At 39.1% G+C, this 20,020-nt stretch overlaps 1 long non-coding RNA gene across 5 annotated transcripts in view, besides 1 other annotated feature; it reads right to left on the bottom strand.

The window, feature by feature from the left end:
* AHI1-DT (AHI1 divergent transcript) overlaps positions 1 to 20,020 on the bottom strand; it is a 218,255-nt gene that overhangs the window by 142,323 nt on the left and 55,912 nt on the right. Inside the window, exon 4 of one of the 5 annotated variants that reach the window (NR_152843.1) lies at positions 18,571 to 18,705. The exons of the other annotated variants lie outside the window; for them this stretch is intronic. This is a non-coding gene — a long non-coding RNA (AHI1 divergent transcript). Of the gene's footprint in view, positions 1 to 18,570; positions 18,706 to 20,020 lie in introns of those variants that run through there. 5 annotated transcript variants of the gene reach the window in all.
* Positions 5,180 to 5,229: a silencer, noted in NCBI's record as "silent region_17571". NCBI's record gives its function as "represses an Ori minimal core promoter by ATAC-STARR-seq in GM12878 lymphoblastoid cells {active_cell/tissue: GM12878}" and the evidence as "EXISTENCE:reporter gene assay evidence [ECO:0000049][PMID:35858748]".

Here is a 20,020-nt window from a genome sequence, read left to right as displayed (position 1 = left end):
GATGAGGTTAACATTTGAACCAGCAGACTGAGTAAAGCAGATTGCCCTCCCCAGTGTGGGTGGGCCTCACCCAATCTGTTGGTGGCCTAAGTAGAATACAAGGCAGTGTGAGGGAGAATTCACTCCCTCTGCCTATTTTTAGACTGCAACATCAGTATTTGCTGGCATTCAGACTGGAACTTGCACCACCAGCTCTCCTGGTTCTCAGGCCTTCAGACTTGGACTGAAACTATACCGTTAATACCAGATCACCTGGGTCTTCAGCTTACTGACTACAGGTCATGGGACTTCTCAGCTTCCATAATTTTGTAAGCCAATTTCTTATAATAAATCAATCCCTCCATAGATAGAAAGATAAGAGATATACAGAGATATATTCTTAATATATATGTCCTATATAGATTAAGGACATATACATTTGTATATTTTCATTTTTCATACTAATTGTTGTTTGTCAGGTTTAGTCTTCTATGCAGCCATCATTAATTTATTCCCAAACTTCCCACAGGACTTCAGATCTTCTCTCATCTCTCAATATGTTAAAATACAACTAAAAAATAAAAAAAACTTATTAAAAAAACCATATATATTTGTATATGTCCTTTATATAGTACATATATACTAAGAATATACATATAGGATATGTCTCTATACATATAAATATATAGAGAGATATAAAAACATATATTCTTAATATATGTCCTATATATTAGGAAGTATATCATATACTTTATGTATTTAATATGAAGGTACCATATAATGTATATATATTTAATATAATGTGTATATATAAAGTGTAAATATATAGGACTATATATTGTATATAAAAATATATACTTCTAAATATATAGGACATATACATACTTCTAAATAGATAGAACATAAGATTATATATATAAGTAAATAAATAGTATATATAAATATATAAGAAGTATATATGTACTTCTAAATATATAGGACATATATTATATATAAAAATACACATACACACACACATCTTACCAGGCCCAGCACATTCCCCATGAAGCTGTACTGGGATTTGGCCCTCAGGAATGGAAGGGGTGTGTGTGTGTGTGTGTGTGTGTGTGTGTGTGTGTGTGTGTGTGTATCCTATTGGTTCTGTTTCTCTAGAGAACCCAAACTAGTACAGACTTTCAATCATGCAGAGCCCAAAGTTGCAAGATGGAAAGTACAAAGGCCCCCAGCAGATCACTGGGATGGAGCTATTTCTGGTTCCACCTCCTTGGTACCCAGATCCATGTATTCGTCCTCCTGGGGTCACAATACAATATGAAGTTCTCCAGTCTAATGCATATGCTACATCCTGAATAATGATACACCATCCTCACAGAGTATTGCCTCCTAACTAGGACTCTCACTGTGCCTTTAGAAAGTCATCCCAACCCTCTATGGAGCAGCTGCTTCTAAATGATGCAGTAGGTGATAGGATCAGTGAATCCCATGTCATAGCCCTACTCCCACACCTACATCACTGTGAAGTGAGTCCCCTGTCTGATGCTATGCTGTACAGGATTCCATGCCTATGAGTCAAGTATTCTTTAAGCCCCCAGAAAACAGTGTTAGCTGAATCTCAGTGGGCAGGAAATCATACCCAGAATAGGTATCTGTCCCAGAGTGGACGAACTGCTGGTCCATCCACCAGATAAGAGACCCAATTTGGTTGGTTTGCCACCAAGTGGTTATTTGGTCCCCTAGAGCAATAATGCCATATCAGGGCTCAGTGTTGATCTTGGTTAATGACAAACTGGATGTTCAGAGGCAGCAGTAGGTAGATTGACCTTGGTAAGTGGGAAAGTTCCCACTGTTGGGCCCATGTATATCTTTCATCTCTGCCACCATGATGACCACTATGTTATTATTCCTTTCCCATTAGTACCAGAGTGACCAATCATGAAGACTGGATAATGCCAAATGACCAAGTTATTTTGTCAATTTAGTTGTTCAGTGCCTCTTCCATGGTGTATGCTTTCTGGTAGGCATTAACATCTGATTTAAAGTCTTCACTCTTTGCCTGATTCCCTTAGCCTTTGTAATTCTTCTGATGTCTGGCATTTCCACTTCATTCAGACCATTGCTTTTTCCAGGTTTCAAAGGTCCATGCTGGCAACAAGTTTGTTCCATCACTTGGGGTCCTTGCCAGGATCCTATGTCCCAAGAAAGTACCCCCAAGTCAATAAATTTTGCTTATACAATTTCATTTCTCGGTCCCCTTGATCAAGCCTTTTGTATTAGTTCATTTGCATGCTACTGATATAGACATGCCCGAGACTGGGCAATTTACAAAAGAAAGAGGTTTACTTGAACTCACAGTTCCATGTGGCTGGAAAGGCCTCACAATCATGGTGGAAGGCAAGAAGAAGCAAGTCACATCTTACATGGATGGTGGCAGGCAAAGAGAGCTTGTGCAGAGAAACTCCTGTTTTTCAAACCATCAGATCTTGTGAGACCCATTCACTATCATGAGAACAGCATGGGAAAGACCCACCCCCATGATTCAATAGTCTCCCACCGGATCCCCCCAACAACATGTGGAAATTATAGGAGCTACAAGATGAGATTTTGATGGGGACGCAGAGCCAAACCATATCACCTCCTCAAAATCCAATCACTAATATACTCCCCTGGCTTCTGCTAGTTCATGCTAACTAGTTCCTGCTGTTCCTTTAGTACATGGTTTCTTTCCTTTCTTACCAGGCCCAGCACATTCCCCATGAAGCTGCACTGGGATTTGACCCTCAGGAATGGAGGCATTCCTGAGGCGGCGCTTGCCTGATTGGGAAGAGGCCTCTCCAGCATCTTCCAATTAGAGGAAGCAGTAGCCCTTGCTATGGAAAAAGGAGATGTCTCCGTAAGCTCTGAGGGTTCAGGGGATCTGTAGTGTCAAGACCCTTGGCCAGGCGCGGTGGCTCACGCCTGTAATCCCAGCACTTTGGGAGGCCGAGGCAGGCGGATCATGAGGTCAAGAGATCGAGACCATCCTGGTTAACATGGTGAAACCCCATCTCTACTAAAAATACAAAAAATTAGCCAAGCATGGTGACAGGTGCCTGTAGTCCCAGCTACTAGGGAGGCTGAGGCAGGAGAATGGCGTGAACCCAGGAGGAGGAGCTTGCAGTGAGCCGAGATCGCACCACTGCACTACAGCCTGGGTGACAGAGCAAGACTCCGTCTCAAAAAAAAAAAATCTCAAGGCATTCTCCTAGATGTCTCTATCGCATGTGTCAGGGTTCCAGAACCTGCCTCAGCTGAGCATTTAAATGTTTCTGAGGCTTTGTGACTTTAACTATAAAATCCCATGTCTGCTTCTCAGCTGTGTATGTTCTTCTACTGTGGAAGATAAGGACCTATTTGTGAACTACCAACAGTCCCTCTGGCACTTACATTTAGCCTTTCACTATTTGTTAATCACTCTCAGTTTTTCATTATCCTTTGTAGGACATCAATATAACTTAGCAATCATCAGCCCTCTGGCTGTTTTCCCAAATCACCACAAGTGAGATTTAAGTAATTGAGCCTCCAACTGTACCAGGTTCCATTGACCTCATATTACTCTCAGGATGGGGTCCTCCTTACCACCATCAGGGCAAAGAGTAAGCCAATCCACATGTCCATCTTAGAGCCTGCTTTCTCAGACTCCTCTCAGGGCCCCGTTTTGAGAAGCAGGTGCCAAGATGAGATTGGATGTGCAAGAAATTTACTGGGGGGAATGTCTGTGAAGGATAAAGGGGGCCAGACCAGGATTAGGCAGGGATAACTGTTTGCAGATATGACCTTTTGAAAGGAGAGGGAAGGGAGGATTGGGTAGAAAAGCCCCAGACCACAGCACAGTTCTGAGAAAGTTGTAGCCAGGCCAGTGGAGAGGGGAGTCCCACACAAAAGTTGTTCATTGGTACTAGGACAGGACTAGGCCCTAATACCCCAGCCATGTTCAGTCATTGGCCGAGAACAACCTAGGGGAAGCATGTTCTAAGCAGCTGTAGGAGCAGCAACTGAAGGCAATCCCCATGTGTCCTATAGCAGACTCTGTAAGGAGATCTGGGCTGCGCATCTTCATGGCCCACATTTGGTGGACTTTTTTTTTTTAGTTAACTTTTATTCTAAGTTCAGGGGTACATGTGCAGATTTGTTATGTAGCTAAACTTGTGTCATAGGGGTTTCTTGTGCAGATTATTTTGTCACACAGGTATTAAGCCTAGTACCTATTAGCTTATTTTTTTATTTAACTTTTAGGTGTATTTTAACATATTGAGAGATGAGAGAAGATCTGAAGTCCTGTGGGAAGTTTGGGAATAAATTAATGATGGCTGCATAGAAGACTAAACTTGACAAAAAGCAATTAGTATGAAAAATGAAAAGCTGTATAAGAAAGAAATAGGATCATAATTCACTATGGCTCAGTGGTGAATTATGTTTAAATAATCATAATAAGCAGGGAATTTAACCAAGAAAAATGTACCAAACTGATTTCATCAAAAGTCGCATTGGAAGGATAGGAAAAGGAAAGTGTGAACAGAGAAGTGGGCAGTAGAAGAGACCAAAATTCATATCTTCAGTAATATGAAGTCATTAGATAATTTTTATGAATTAAAATTGAAGAAATAATAGTATAAGATTATTTTAAAATATTACAGTAAACAATAAACATAACGACTACAATAATTGAAAGTATCTCCAGGGAACAGGAATCTGTGATGGGAAGGGTTTTAGCAGAGGACTGCTGGTTTTCTTTTTAAAGCTATGGTACTGTTGGAGTTTTTTAACTTTGTCAATGTTTGATTACAATATTAAAATTAAATTTTAAAAGGCAAATCAAGATCGTCCAATATTTAGTTGTACATCCTAATGAATGATACCAATTTTACGCAATTCTCAGGAATCCTGCTATTGCAGGAATATATTAATACTTAGGTTGTATATCTAGCTCATATTGATTAAAGGGACATGCTTTTACTCTCAGATTTCACTGGAAGTGTTTTAGCACGCAGAATTAAAAATATTACCTACCATGTCATTAAAATTTCAAGAGGAATGTTTTCAAGTCAGACAGTGGGGAGTTTTATGGGTTTTTAACTCACTTTCTGATAATACACACTTGGCTTTCGATTCACATGTGTCAGCTGTTATCAGCTGGCCATGTGCGTCACTGAGTTAGCTTTGTGGTATTATCTGTAGCCAAAGGAAACACAGAGGAAATCATTGCAGCAGCTCCACATATTTTAATCAGTTAGAAAAATCTGCTCCCCCACTGGTATTTTCACACATTTCCTCAACAGCAAGCCTATTCTATTATAGAAAAAAAGAAAAAGAAAAAGAAAACAAAAAAATTGTAATGGATTCTGATAGCTGCTAATTCAGCCTTAAAAACAGAATTTGTATAAACTCAATAATTCTGGAAAACCTTCGAGTTTCAAAATGTGCATAGATCTTTTCCATAATAGTGTAACTTACACTTTTGCTCAGAACCAGTTCCACGGTCTTCCCCTCTTTCTCCCACACTTGATCCAGGGAAAGACTCATCTTCCTGTAGGAAAAATCAAGCCCCCCTACCCAACCCCCCAAAAAAACAGGTCTTGTGGAAATCAATTTTATTAAAAAATGGTAGGCAATATCCATCATCATATATAACATGAATAAGTTCCTGCATAACACAAGGTGCTAGAATTGTTCAATTTAGTTTTCTATATCAAATTACTCTGCAATCTGAGCCCTTGCTCACCTAGGTAGGAAAGCAGCTGATCAATATCAGTCATTGGTACATACTTACTTCCACTCCCTTCAAGGGAGGGACTTTACAAGGATCCTAGGGCTGACAAGGTCCAGAGAAAAAGGGTGGGGGAGGGCAGGTTCTTATTCCATTGTGGTTGCCATCTTACCGTTCCTCATTTGAGTGCAGAACTCAGCCTGAGCACAATTCTCTTCCCCCATCTTTGAGAACTGGTAACATAGCAGCCCATAGAGAATCAGAGATGGGTCTGTCCCAGGTCCCTTCAGTGAGACATCTTCTCAACTACAGGTGCCAAGACTGCAGCTTCAAAGTTTTACCTTTACAAATGCCCTCAGGACAATCTTCCATGGGAATAATCAGCTCTTATTATTTTTTCTTTTTTCTGATAAGACTACTCCAATGGGGCGAGGAAGGGATTGTGTACAGGGATATTGCTCCTGTAAATTATTAATACCTTGCCCTGCCACACTTATTAAAATGCTTCCAGTTACTTGTTCAGTTTTTCTTAAGGTAATGAAAAGTAAGTGTATAAATGCTTATTTTCATGCCTGAAATAATTACAGTGATCCCTTGCCAACCATGGGGAGAAAAAGTTGCATGTGAAAAGTTCTGGGGCTGGCAGAATGGTTGGTTGACAATACTTCTTCGTGGAAAATAAAAGGTTTGACAGGAACAAAAAATTAAGGGCTAAATATATATAATACTTAAAAGCAGAGTAAATAAAAGTCTAGAATACGTCTTATCCAAAACAGGTCATATTTGTCATTGAAAACTTGTTCTGGCAGGAAGTCCTCTACCAGAGCACCTTTTGCATTTGTTCTAGAACTCATGTTGCTGTTCTGTGATCTGCTGGGGCATCCAGTTAAAAGGATTGAGAACCATTATCTACTGGCTTGAAATTTAATGTTTTGCATTTGCATTCTTTCTATACATAAACCCAAAGGCTCTGCCCTACACAGGTCTGGAAAGGCAACTGGGGGGCAGGCCCAAGATGGATGACTAGAAGCAGCCACAATTGGAGGCTTGCATCAAAAAGAAACAAAACAGCCTGCAAATCCTGTGCTGGCAACCGAGGTATCCAGGTTCTGTCATCAGCACTGACTAGGCGGCTGGCATGACCCACCAAGAGAAAGGAAGACCAGTGTGGTTCTGCGGCCTACCTGAGACCCACAAGGGTCAGGGGAGCCCCCACCCACCAGCCAAGAAGGCAGTGAGCAAGCATGCTACTCAGCCTGGGAAACCATGCTTTTCCCATGGAACTGTGCAATGGAAGATCCCACTCATGAGCCCATGCCACCCAGGTCTAGGGTCCCAACCATGAAGCCACATAGATTTTCAACAGCCACTCAGCTAGAATCTGCCTAAGCCTGCAGAGTTATTGGGGGAAGGGGCGGCCAGCACCACAGCTGCGGCTTCCCGCTGTCTAAGCCATTTGAGCTCCTTGAGGGAGGGATGGCAGCCAACACTGGGACTGCTAGCTGCCTAACACACTAAGCCCCCAGGGCAAGGGAAGGGCAGCAGCCATCTCCATAGCTCCAGGTCATGCTTTTCCCCTGCTGGAGCCAGGGAGGCTGGATGGCTTGGTCCCAAGAGGTATCCCCCACAGCCCAACACACCGGCTGTGGCAGACTACAGCCAGAGTGCCTCTTCAGGTCTGACCCTGACCCATCCCTCCTCACTGGGTGGGGCCTCACTGCAGGAACTCCAACAACTCCAGCCAGGGGCTCAGGGACAGAACCGTAATCTCCCTGGGCCTAAGCCCCTAGCAGGAGGGGTGGCCATAGTCTCCATGAACCAGCAGACTTAGTGTTTCCTCCTGCTAGTTCTGAGGAATACAGGAAGCCCAGATGAGTGGGTTTCCCCCACATGGCAGCACACCAGCCCCCTACCAAGGGACAGCCAAAGTGCTTCATTAATTGGGTCCTGCATTCCATACCACCTAACTGAGTGAGACCCTCCAACAAGGGTTGTCAGACACCCTGTACAGGAGCATTCCTACTGGAATCAGGTCAGTGCCCTTTGAGGTCAGAGATCCCAGAGGAAGGAGCAGGCACCCATCTTTGCTGTCCTCCAGCCTCCTCAAGTGACATCTCCAGGCATGGAAGTGAACCAGATGAATAGGGCCTGAAATGAACCCCAGGAAGCCACAGCAGCCCTACAGAAGAGGGACCTGACTATTGGAAGAAAAACAAACAAACAGAAAGCAAAACAACAGCATCAACCAAAAAAAATGTTCCCACAAAAACCTCATCCAAGGGTCAGCAGCCTCAAAGACTGAAACTAGACAAACTCATGAAGATGAGAAAGAATCAGTGAGGCCAGGCAAGGTGGCTCACGCCTATAATCCCAGCACTTTGGTAGGCTGAGGTGGGTGGATCACCTGAGGTCAGGAGTCCGAGACCAGCCTGGCCAACATGGCAAAACCCCGTCTCTACTAAAAATACAAAACAATTAGCCGGGCATGATAGCATGTGTCTGTAATTCCAGCTACTCAGGAGGCAGAGGCAGGACAATCACTTGAACCTGGAAGGCAGAGGTTGCAGTGAACCAAGATCATGCCACTGCACTCTAGCCTGGGCAACTGAGTGAGAGATTTTGTCTTAAAAAAAAAAAAAAAAAAAAAGAATCAACAACAAAAAAAAACTGAAAACCTAAAAAGGCCAGAGCGCCTCTTCTCCTCCAAATGATTGCAATACCTCTCCAGCAAGGGTGCAGAACTGCATGGAGGATGAGATGGATGAATTGACAGAAGTAGGCTTCAGAAGGTGGCTAACAACAAACTTCACTGAGGTAAAGGAGCATGTTTTAATCCAAAGAAAGAAGCTAAGAACCTTGATAAAAGGTTGCAGGAGCTGCTAACTAGAATAACCAGTTTAGAGAGGAACATAAATGACCTGATAGAGCTGAAAAACACAGCATGAGAACTTTATGAAACATACAAAAGTATCAATAGCCAAATCAATCAAGTGGAAGAAAGAATATCAGAGATTGAAGACCATTTGTTGAAATAAGACAGACAGACAAGATTAGAGAAAAAAGAATGAAAAGGAATAAACAAAATCTCTAAGAAACATGGGACTATGTAAAAAGACTGAACCTGTGATTGATTGTAGTACCTGAAAGAGGCAGGGAGAATGGAACCAAGTTGGAAAACACACTTCAGAATATTATCCAGGAGAACTTCTGCAACCTAGCAAGACAGGCCAACAATCAATTTCAGGAAAAACAGAATACCACTAAGATACTCCATGAGAAGATCAACCCCAAGACACATAGTCATCAGATTCTCCAAAGTCAAAATGAAGGAAAATATGTTAAGGGCAGCCAGAGAGAAAGGCCAGGTCACCTACAAAGGGAAGCCCATAACACTAGCACGGATCTCTCAGCAGAAACCCTAGAAGCCAAAACAGATTGAGGGCCAATATTCAACATTCTTAAATAAAAGAATTTTCAACTCAGAATTTCCTATCCAGCCAAACCAAGTTTCAGAAGCAAAGGAGAAATAAAATTCTTTTCAGACAAGCAAATGCTGAGAGATTTCGTCACCACCAGGCCTGCCTTGCAAGAGCTCCTGAAAGAAGCACTAAACACAGAAAGGAGAAACTTGTACCAGCCATTGCAAAAAAACACACTAAAATATAAAGCCCAATGACACTATGAAGAAATCACAGCAACTAGTGTGCAGAATAACGAGCTAGCATCATGAGAACAGGATCAAATTTACACATAACAATATTAACCTTAAATATAAATGGGCTAAATGGCCCATTTGAAAGACTCAGACTGGTAAACTGGATAAAGAGTTCAAGACCCATTAGTGTGCTGTATTCAAGAAACCCATCTCACATGCAAAGACATACCTAGGCTCAAAATAAACAGATGGAGGAAAATTTACCAAGTAAATGAAAAGCAAAAAAAAAAGCAGAGGTTGCAATTCTAGTCTCTGATAAAACAGTCTTTAAACCAACAAAGATCAAAAAAGACAAAGAAGGGCATTACATAACGGTCAAGGGATCAATGCAACAGGAAGAGCTAACCATCCTAAATACATATGCACCCAATACAGGAGCACCCAGATCCATAAAATAAATTCTCAGAGACCTACAAAGAGACTTAGACTCCCATACAATAAGAGTGGGAGACTTTAACACCCCACCGTCAATATTAGACAAATCAACGGGACAGAAAACTAACAAGGATATTCAGGACTTGATCTCAGCTCTGCATCAAGTGGACCTGAGAGATATCTACAGAACTCTCCACCCCAAATCAACAGAATATACATTCTTCTCAGTGCCACATGGCACTTATTCTAAAATTGACCGCGTAATTGGAAGGAAAACACTCCCCAGCAAATGCAAAAATACTGAAATCACAAAAGTGAGAGGACCTCACTCAAACAGTCCTGTTAAGAACCTCACTCAAAACGACACAACTACATGGAAATTGAACAACCTGCTCCTGAATGACTCGTGGGTAAATAATGAAATTAAGGCAGAAATCAGAAAATTCTTTGAAACCAATAAGAATAAAGAGAAAACGTGCCAGAATCTCTGGGACACAGCTAAAGCTGGGTTAAGAGAGAAATTTATAGCACTAAATGACCATATCAGAAAGCTAGAAAGATCTCAAACTGACATCCTAACATCACAATTGAAAGAATTAGAGAAGCAAGAGCAAACAAATCCAAAAGCTGGCAGAAGACAAGAAATAACTAAGAGCAGAGCAGAACTGAAGGAGATAGAAACAAACAAACAAACAAAAACCCTTCAAAAAAACCAATGAATCCAAGAGTGGCTTTTTGAAAAAATTAACAAAATAGATAGACCACTAGCTAGACTAACAAAGAAGAAGAAAGAGAAGAATCAAATAGACACAATAAAAAATGATAAAGGGGATATCACCACTGACCCCACATAAATACAAATTACCATCAGAGAATACTATAAACACCTCTACACAAATAAACTAGGAAATCTAGAAGAAATGGATAAATTCCTGGACACATACACCCTCCCAAGACTGAACCAGGAAGAAGTTGAATCCCTTAATAGGCCAATAACAAGTTCTGAAATTGAGGCAGTAATTAATAGCCTACCAACCAGAAAAGCCCAGGAACAGACAGATTCACAGCTGAATTCTACCAAAGGTAAAAAGAGGAGATGGTACCATTTCTACTGAAACCATTAACAATTGAAAAGAAGGGACTCATCCCTAACCCATTTTATGAGGCTGGCATCATCCTGATACCAAAACCTGGCAGAGACACAACAAAAAAAGAAACTTCACGCCAATATCCCTGATGAACATCAATGTAAAAATCCTCAATAAAATAATGAAAAACTGAATCCAGCAGCACATCAAAAAGCTTATCCACCACGATTAAGTCAGCTTCATCCCTGGGATGCAAGGCTGGTTCAAATACACCAATCAATAAACCTAATCCATCATATAAACAGAACTAATGACAAAAACTCCACGATTATCTCAATAGACGCAGAAATGGCCTTCAATAAAATTCAACATCCCTTCATGTTAAAAACTCTCAATAAACTAGGTATTGATGGAATATATCTCAAAATAATAAGAACTATTTATGACAAACCACAGCCAATATCATATCAAATGGGCAAAAGCTGGAACCATTCCCTTTGAAAACCGGCACAAGGCAAGGATACCCTCTCTCACCACTGCTATTCAACATAGTATTGGAAGTTCTGGCCAGGGAAATCAGGCAAGAGAAAGAAATAAAGTGTATTCAAATAGGAAGACAGGAAATCAAATTGTCTCTGTTTGCAGATGATATGATTCTATATTTAGAAAACCTCATCATTTCAGCCCCAAAACTCCTTAAGCTGATAAGCAACTTCAGCAAAGTCTCAGGATACAAAATCAATGTGCAAAAATGACAAGCATTTCTATACACCAACAATAGACAAGGAGAGAGCCAAATCATGAATGAACTCCCGTTAACAATTGCTACAAAGAGAATAAAATTCCTAGGAATACTCCTAACAAGGGGAGTGAAGGACCTTTTCAAGGAGAACTACAAACCACTGCTCAACGAAATAAGAGAGGACACAAACAAATGGAAAAAAAATCTATCTTCATGGATAGGAAGAATAAATATCATGAAAATGGCCATACTGCCCAAAGTGATTTATACATTCAATGCTATTCTTGTTAAACTATCATTGACATTGTTCAGAGAATTAGAAAAAACTACTTTAAATTTCATATGGAACCAAAACAGAGCCCATATAGTCAAGACAATCCTAAGCAGAAAGAACAAAGCTGGAGGCATCACACTACCTGACTTCAAACTATACTACAAGGCTACAGTAACCAAAACAGCATGTTACTAGTACCAAAACAAACATATAGACCAATGAAACAGAACAGAGACCTCAGAAATAGCACTACACATCTACAGCCAACTGATCTTCAACAAACCTGACAAAAACAAGCAATGGGGAAAGCATTCCCTATTTCATAAATGGTGCTGGGAAAACTGGCTAGCCATATGCAGAAAACTGAAACTGGACTCCCCTTCCTCATACATTATACAAAAATTAACTCAAGATGGATTGAAGACTTAAATGTAAAATCCAAAATCATAAAAACCCTAGATGAAAACCTAGGCAATACTATTCAGGACATAGACATGGGTAAAGATTTCATCACAACAAAGCCAAAAGCAATTCCAACAAAAGCTAAAATTGACAAATGAGATCTAATTAAACTAAAGAGCTCCTGCAGAGCAAAAGAAACTATCATCAGAGTGAGCAGGCAACCTACAGAATGGGAGAAAATATTTGCAATCTACCCATCTGACAAAGGTCTAATATCCAGAATCTACAAGGAACTTAAACAAATTTACAAGAAAAAAAAAAACCCCATCAAAAAGTGGGCAAAGGATATGAACAGACACTTCGCAAAAGAAGGCATTTATGCAGCCAACAAACATATGAAAAAAAGGTCAACATCACTGATGGTTAGAGAAATGCAAATCAAAACCACAGTGAGATACCATCTCACATCAGTCAGAATGGCAATTATTAAAATGTCAAGAAACAACAGATGATGGCAAGGCTGTGGAAAAATAGGAACGCTTTTACACTGTTGGTGGGAATGTGAATTAGATCAACCATTGTGGAAGTCAGTGTGATTCCTCAAGGATCTAGAACCAGAAATACCATTTGACCCAGCCATCCCATTACTGGGTATATACCCAAAGGAATATAAATCATTCTACTATAAAGATACATGCACACGTATGTTTATTGCAGCACTATTTACAATAGCAAAGACATGGAACCAACCCAAATACCCATCAGTGATAGACTGGATAAAGAAAAAGTGGCACATATACACCATGGAATGCTATGCAGTCATAAAAAGGAATGAGATCATGTCCTTTGCAGGGACATGGGTAAAGCTGGAAGCCATCATCCTCAGCAAACTAACACGGGAACAGAAACCCAAACACCACGTGTTCTCACTCATAAGTGGGAGTTGAACAGTGAGAACACATGGACACAGGGAGGGGAGCAACAAACACTGGGGCCTGTCATGGGAGAGGTGGAGAGGAAGAGCATCAGGACAAATACCTGATGCATGTGAGGCTTAAAACCTAGATGACGGGTTGACAGGTGCAGCAAACCACCATGGCACACATATACCTATGCAATAAACCTGCACATTCTGCACATGTATCCCAGAACTTAAAGTAAAATAAAAATTTTTTTAATGAAAGGCAATGGAAAAAATAGTAATATATATAATATATATTTCACACACACACACGCAGACATATATATACTTCTACAATGCTTGAAGTGGTAGGACTGTCACATTTCTTTATTTTTCTAAATCAAATACCTGACACTAAACTTCCACTCACCAAAGATGGCAATAATTACATCTTTTATTACTGGTCCTCCCTTATTCCCTTTTATAAAATGCTTATGCATTTTTATAAATTATCAAGGTGATTAAGAAGTATTATTTCCCCAGACTAGCCTCTCATACATTTGTTGAAAGGATAAAATTTAAAAGATCTTTTCTCTGCATGATCCCCAAGAGGCCTACCCCCAGGTCTAAAGAGGGAAGAGTAATTTGGGTGTGGGGGGGCACTTGTATTTTTTTGCTGCATAAGGGTCCTCTGAAGCACCTGTTAAGATGTGAATGTTTGGCATCTATCCCTGGAGAGTATGATTCAATAGGTCTGGGGCAGGGCCCAGACATTTGTATTTTGTGTGTTTATGGAGTTTAATAAGTAATTTTAATAGACAACTTTAGGAACAACTATAAAGGACTAAACTAAATCTTGTGTTTGTGAAAGATCTCAGATTTTTTCAATTGCTATAAAAATTTAAATCACTATTAATGAACTCTAGTGGTCCGAAAACTGTGGTTGTCAGATTACTGTAATTTTATGAAATGTATATATTTTTGAGCCCTCCACTTGTTTTCATTGTGGTAAAATACACATAACAAAAAATTTGCCATCTTAACGATTTTTAAGTATACAGTTTAGTGGCATTAAGTACATTCATATTACTGTGCAGCCATCACCATCTTCCATCTCTAGAACTTTTTAATCTTCCTGAGACTCTGTATCTATTAAACACTACTACCTTCCTATTCCCCCTTCCCCTGGACCTTGGCAACCACCATTGTATTTTCTATCTCTATGAATTTTGATTACTTAGAGTGCATGGAATTATACAGTATTTATTACATGGAATATAATTATGATTACATGGAATCATACAGTATTTATCATTCTGTGACTTGCTTATTTCACTCAGTATAATGTCCTCAGGGTTCATCCACGTTTTAGCATGTATCAGAATTTCCTCTCTTTTAAGACTGGGTTATATGCCATGTACCACACTTTGTTTATCCATTCATCTATCAGTGGACACTTGGGTTGCTTCCACCTTTTGGCTATTGTGAATAATGCTGCTATGAACATGGGTGTGCAAATATCTGTTCAAATCCCTGCTTTCAATTCTTTGGTGCATATACCTGGAAACTGAATTACTATAATGCTCACAATACTCTTAAGAAGATAGAAGAATGCCTATTTATTTTATCCTAAAATTCCTAAAACATAAATTTAATTCTGATTTTCTAAAGTGACAAATGTAAAACTGACCTTACATTTGTGAGTTTCTGCTCTACTTGCTCCTTCCACTCAGGTCTCCACATCTAAGTTTGTTTCTATTTCTTCCCATCTTCAACATGCTTTTCCGTGACAAGTACACCATCCCCATGACTTCAATCATTTTCTCTTCCTTGTGGTTTCCAATTTCACCATCAAGGGTTGTTTCCTTCAATTCTTATTGCCTGATCAGCCATATCTTCATTAGTAGGTAAACTATCTCCCAGGAATGTTGTTCTCCCAGGAGAACCATTTTTTCTTCTCCTAGACCTTCGATGTGTCTGGTTCTATAGACTCTTTCTACAAAGGCTATAACTGCTTAAGTCACCCCTACCTTTAAGACCAAAAACGCTCAAGCCCGTGTCCCTTTTAATGGCCCACCAGACCTATTTCAAATGCAGAACACTGGCATGTGCAGGCACATGCACACATAGAGACTTGGCCTTTGCTCTAATTCACACACAGGAAGGTATGTTCTCCCTACACTTCCCTAAGTAGTAGAAACAGTAACCAGGAAAATGGTCCTAGTTCTCAACCCAGAGAGAAAAACAGGCCTTGAAGGAAAACACTGAAAACAAAAACAGGGCTATCTCATTTCCCTTGCCCCTACATTACCTAGATAACAAATGTAGTCCTAAACACCATTACTACCCCGGCCAATGAACTCACATGCAGACACACACACACACATACACCTTTCATGGTAGCAGGCTGTTGCAGTCTCTCCTTCCTGTCTCAACTGCAATAAGTCCTTGGCTAGCTCCTTTTGTGTCCTGCCTGCTACCTATTGCAGAAGCAGTTGAATCACCTGCTCTAACTGACCAAGAGCCAAATGGTCTGAGGCTGTTTGAAGTCTCAGGACTTCCACGTACCAGACATTATTAAACATACTTCAAAAAAATCTACTGGAGTCCCCAAAGACAGACTATAGAATCAAAAGTTTCCTCCTCAGTAAACTGTGCCCAGAAATTAGTTGTTGGACTTTCCATGGCTCTAGAGCTGTGATGGTGGTAGGGACTGCACAGTTCCGTCCAGATTAAGCTTCACATGAGCCTCTGTCTTCAGCTGACACATGCAAAACAAGTGCCCTTTGGAACAAAATAGTACATTTCTTATTAAAGTGGCAGGTGGTGGGGATTTTTTCTTTACACAGTCATAAGGAAATAGGAGAATAGGCCAAATTTTTAAAAAGTAGGAGAAAAACCCTAGATTTTTAAATAGGAACCCTTCTATACTTCACCACGCACCCAGATGAAATGGCTTCTTTCTCACACTCTCTGCACCTTTCCTGCTAAACTACACCAAAAAAAAAAAAAAAAAAGTCTTGAATTTCTTGCTCCATGACTATATTTCCACAGCAGCATTGACCCTATTCTGCCAAGGCATTAATTTAAAACAAAAGAAAACCAAAAAAACCCAGGAAGGTATTATTAAGTATTAAATCTATTAAATAGTTTATTGAAGAAATCATGTTTTGATGGTGGTGCAGTGAAACTGGCAGTTTTATACATTGCTAATTGCATTCTAAATATGTACAATCATTTCCAAAAGCAATTTAGCTATATGTATCAAGAACCATAAAAAATATGTTACACTTTAACTTTGAAATCATGCTTCCTATTAATATAATCTAAATTGAGTAAAAAATTATTTTCTATGTGTATATATATGAATATATATTTATAGTAGTGATATTTTAATAGAAAATAAAAGAATATCCAACATAAGAGTAATGTTTAAGCAAGTTACACTACAAATATGTAAAGATTGTTGCTATTTCTACCTTTATAAATAAAGTTGTAAAAATGCAGCCAATGCAAAAAGGTGCTTGAATTATACAACTACAACTATGTAAAAAATCTGCACAAGGCAAATACCTGTAAGGATGGACAGAAAAATGTACACAACGGTGTGTTAAGGTAGTCACACTGTGTTCTTCCTTATATTTGAATAGTTTGTAACATTTTTGCATTATTTTTACAATGAAAGATATCTAGCATGTTTAAGTAATTGGCATCATGTGGCCATATAAAATCATTATTAAAACAGCTTTACAATGACTATCAAAATATTTACTCTAACACATAGAGTTTCTCTAATACGTTTTAGTTTGCTTTAAATGCATATATATTATTTTTCTCATTTGGAACTCATCTATGATGATTCTAAATGCTCTTAGATTCTAAATGCAAAAACCTAATGCATTTACTCCATTTAGTCTGCTAAGCCAGCTATTTTATAGTCTGGTGCCCCACTGGATGTCTCAAATGTGTGCAAATACAACGGATTTCCAAGCTTACTCAATTTCTAACCATACATCTTGACAGAGGCTTGATACTAATGAAATGGTTCTGACTGTGTAATTTTCAACAGGGCCAAACGAAATCTTCACAAGCTATATAGCTGTGATGCTTTTATCTCTATATACATGTGAGAACAAATACTAACCAGCAATGGAAAATATGAAAAATTTAAAAAGAGTCTAGTGCAGAGGCTAGAGATTTAGTTTCACTGATCATGTTCTGGACAAAGCAATGTGAAAGATGTACACTGGTTGAGAAGCACTTGTATTTATTTGCAGATAGTTTTTAAAATTAGTATCATTTCAGAACAAATGCATGCAATGTCTCATTCCTGTTTGCAGATATTGCTAATGAAAGCTGCATCCAGATCAGAGCATTACATAAGGACAGCAGATGAACCAAAGTTCCATGGGGTAGCAATTTAGGGAGAAGGGGAAAGAGTTGCAAAAGCATGGCAATATGAACTCCCTTTTATCACCTACTCCTTCCCCATCTCCTACCTGAGCTAAGGAGGAGCTCAGAGAGTGAGGAAAGTTCCCTATAGCCTGTGAATGAGTTTCAAAGCTCTCTGGTCACCTTTCTCTTTTGTGAATGAGTTGTCACTCACAGAAAAAAAAAAGAAAAAAAAACAATAAGAAATGTTTGTGTCCAAAACATGCTGCAGGGGGAGTTTCAACAAGTTCCCGTCTCTTTCCTTTTTGCTAGTGAGAAGCTTGGTAGAGACCAGTTTGATATTTCCAGGCCTGCTGATGCCCTACCTTCCGTTCACACAGCCGTTGAATCACCAGGCCTCAGACAAAATGAGGAAGTGTTCTTTCTCCATGTCGTCTCAGCAGTAGTCACTGAATTTTTCTGCCACTTCAATCTGTATATTTTGTGGTTTTATGATGTTTAATATCATGGTTTTATCTAAAATCCTGTTGTTGATTGTTTCTAGAATTTTTCCAGGAGCTAATTTAAATTTGTTGTCAAAAGCTTCCCATCACATGAAGTCAATACTGATCAATAATCACAGTTGGAAGGGACTTCACAAATAGCTAGCAGAAGACTCGTCATGTTACAGATAACAAATCTAAAGTCCGAAGAAGTCAGACAGCTGGCTTAGTTTCTGTAAGTTATAGTATCTAACTTAATAGGGTCACAGGATCTGAGAGTTAAAATTATCCTTACGTTAATCAATTTGATCAAATAAATATTTTAAGTTTCTGTAGAGCAAAGAAAAAAGAAACTCAAAGACAAATTCAAGAGGTAAAAACATTTCAAGAAATAATTTGCAACACAACAAAGGTTTATCTCCTATAATAAAGAGTTCTTTAAGTCAATAAGAAAAAGACCAACAGCCCAGTAAAAAATAATGGGCAAAACATTTAATTTAGCAACTTGCCATCATACTGGGAATTCCCTTTCCTGCTCCTCTGTGGTGAAACTCCTGTTCCCTGGATCCTCTTTCTTCCTTATTTCCAAGGAGTACATTCTCCAACAGGTTCCTGAGAAAGTTTTTAGACCAATTAGAAGAGAGGTAACTGTTTTAAGATCTTAGGGGTCTAAAAATATCTTTTTTATGCCATATATTTGATTGAGGGTTTTGCCGGGCACAGATTTCCATGCTTGAAAGAAATAATACACATAAATTGAAATATTATTTTTATGTCATTCTTAACCAAATTACTTATTAATGGGATCTGTTTAATGTTGGGCACTGCACAATTTCTCAAGCCTTGGACTTAGAATGAATACTGCCACCCTCGTTTCCTGTTCCCAGATAATTTTCACAGGGTATTTACTTGCTTTTAATTTCATCAACTCAGATTTGCAAAGATAACATCATTGAAAGGAACATAGCTCAATCTAAAGACAGAACTATAAAATGAACTACTTCCATTTAGTATCTCAAAAAGTATCTAAAAGATATCAATGTCACTATATTTTTGTTTGTTTGTTTGTTTGTTTTATTATACTTTAAGTTTTAGGGTACATGTGCACATTGCACAGGTTAGTTACATATGTATACATGTGCCATGCTGGTGCGCTGCACCCACTAACTGGTCATCTAGCATTCACTATATTTTTCTCAATAATTTTAAAATTCCAGGGGTTAGGGTTAGGGTTAAGGTTAGGGTTTGGGGTCAGGGTCAGGATCAGAATTAGAGAAAATAAAGAAAAAACTTTTTTCAATTCCCATGGCACCCACCCTATGAATTTGCTCTTGTGCCCTAGGGCTGACCTCTGTGCAAGGTTTGAGAACATCAGCTCTGACCTTTAGGGAAAAAGCAAAGTTAGATCACTTTATTACGTATGTATAGTATGAGCACATGTATGTGTATATATATACTAAGTACACATATATGTATGAATGTGTGTGTATACACACACATGCAAATATCTGCCATTTATCTGTGTATGTGTGTATACACACTATATATACAAACATGTGTCACATAAATTTACATACTTTAAAAATTACAGTCTTATATACATCAAAATGATGGTGATTATCTCTAAGTGGTAAAAATTATGGGTGATTCTTGCTTTCTTCTTTATGCTTTTTATGTTTACACTTCCCATGAGGTTCAATTTTATAACCAATGAAAGCAGTGAAGCTCCATTTTGAGCAAAAGCTCCATTTTGCTTAAAAATTAAGCACACAGACCCAAGTTCCAACTAGCTTCTTTTAATAAGGAAAGCAAGTTTGGAACTTATTCAAAAAAACAATTTTTCTGCTGAAAATGCATTTGAACCATTGTAAATAATCATATTAGAGACAGATTAGGGTAAAATAGCACTATTCTATAGTTCAACTAA

Source organism: Homo sapiens, chromosome 6 (assembly GCF_000001405.40).
Source record: "Homo sapiens chromosome 6, GRCh38.p14 Primary Assembly".
Classification (NCBI taxonomy): Eukaryota; Metazoa; Chordata; class Mammalia; order Primates; family Hominidae; genus Homo; species Homo sapiens.
Note: the sequence above shows the minus strand (reverse complement) of the source record. Positions and strands in the feature narration are given on the sequence as shown.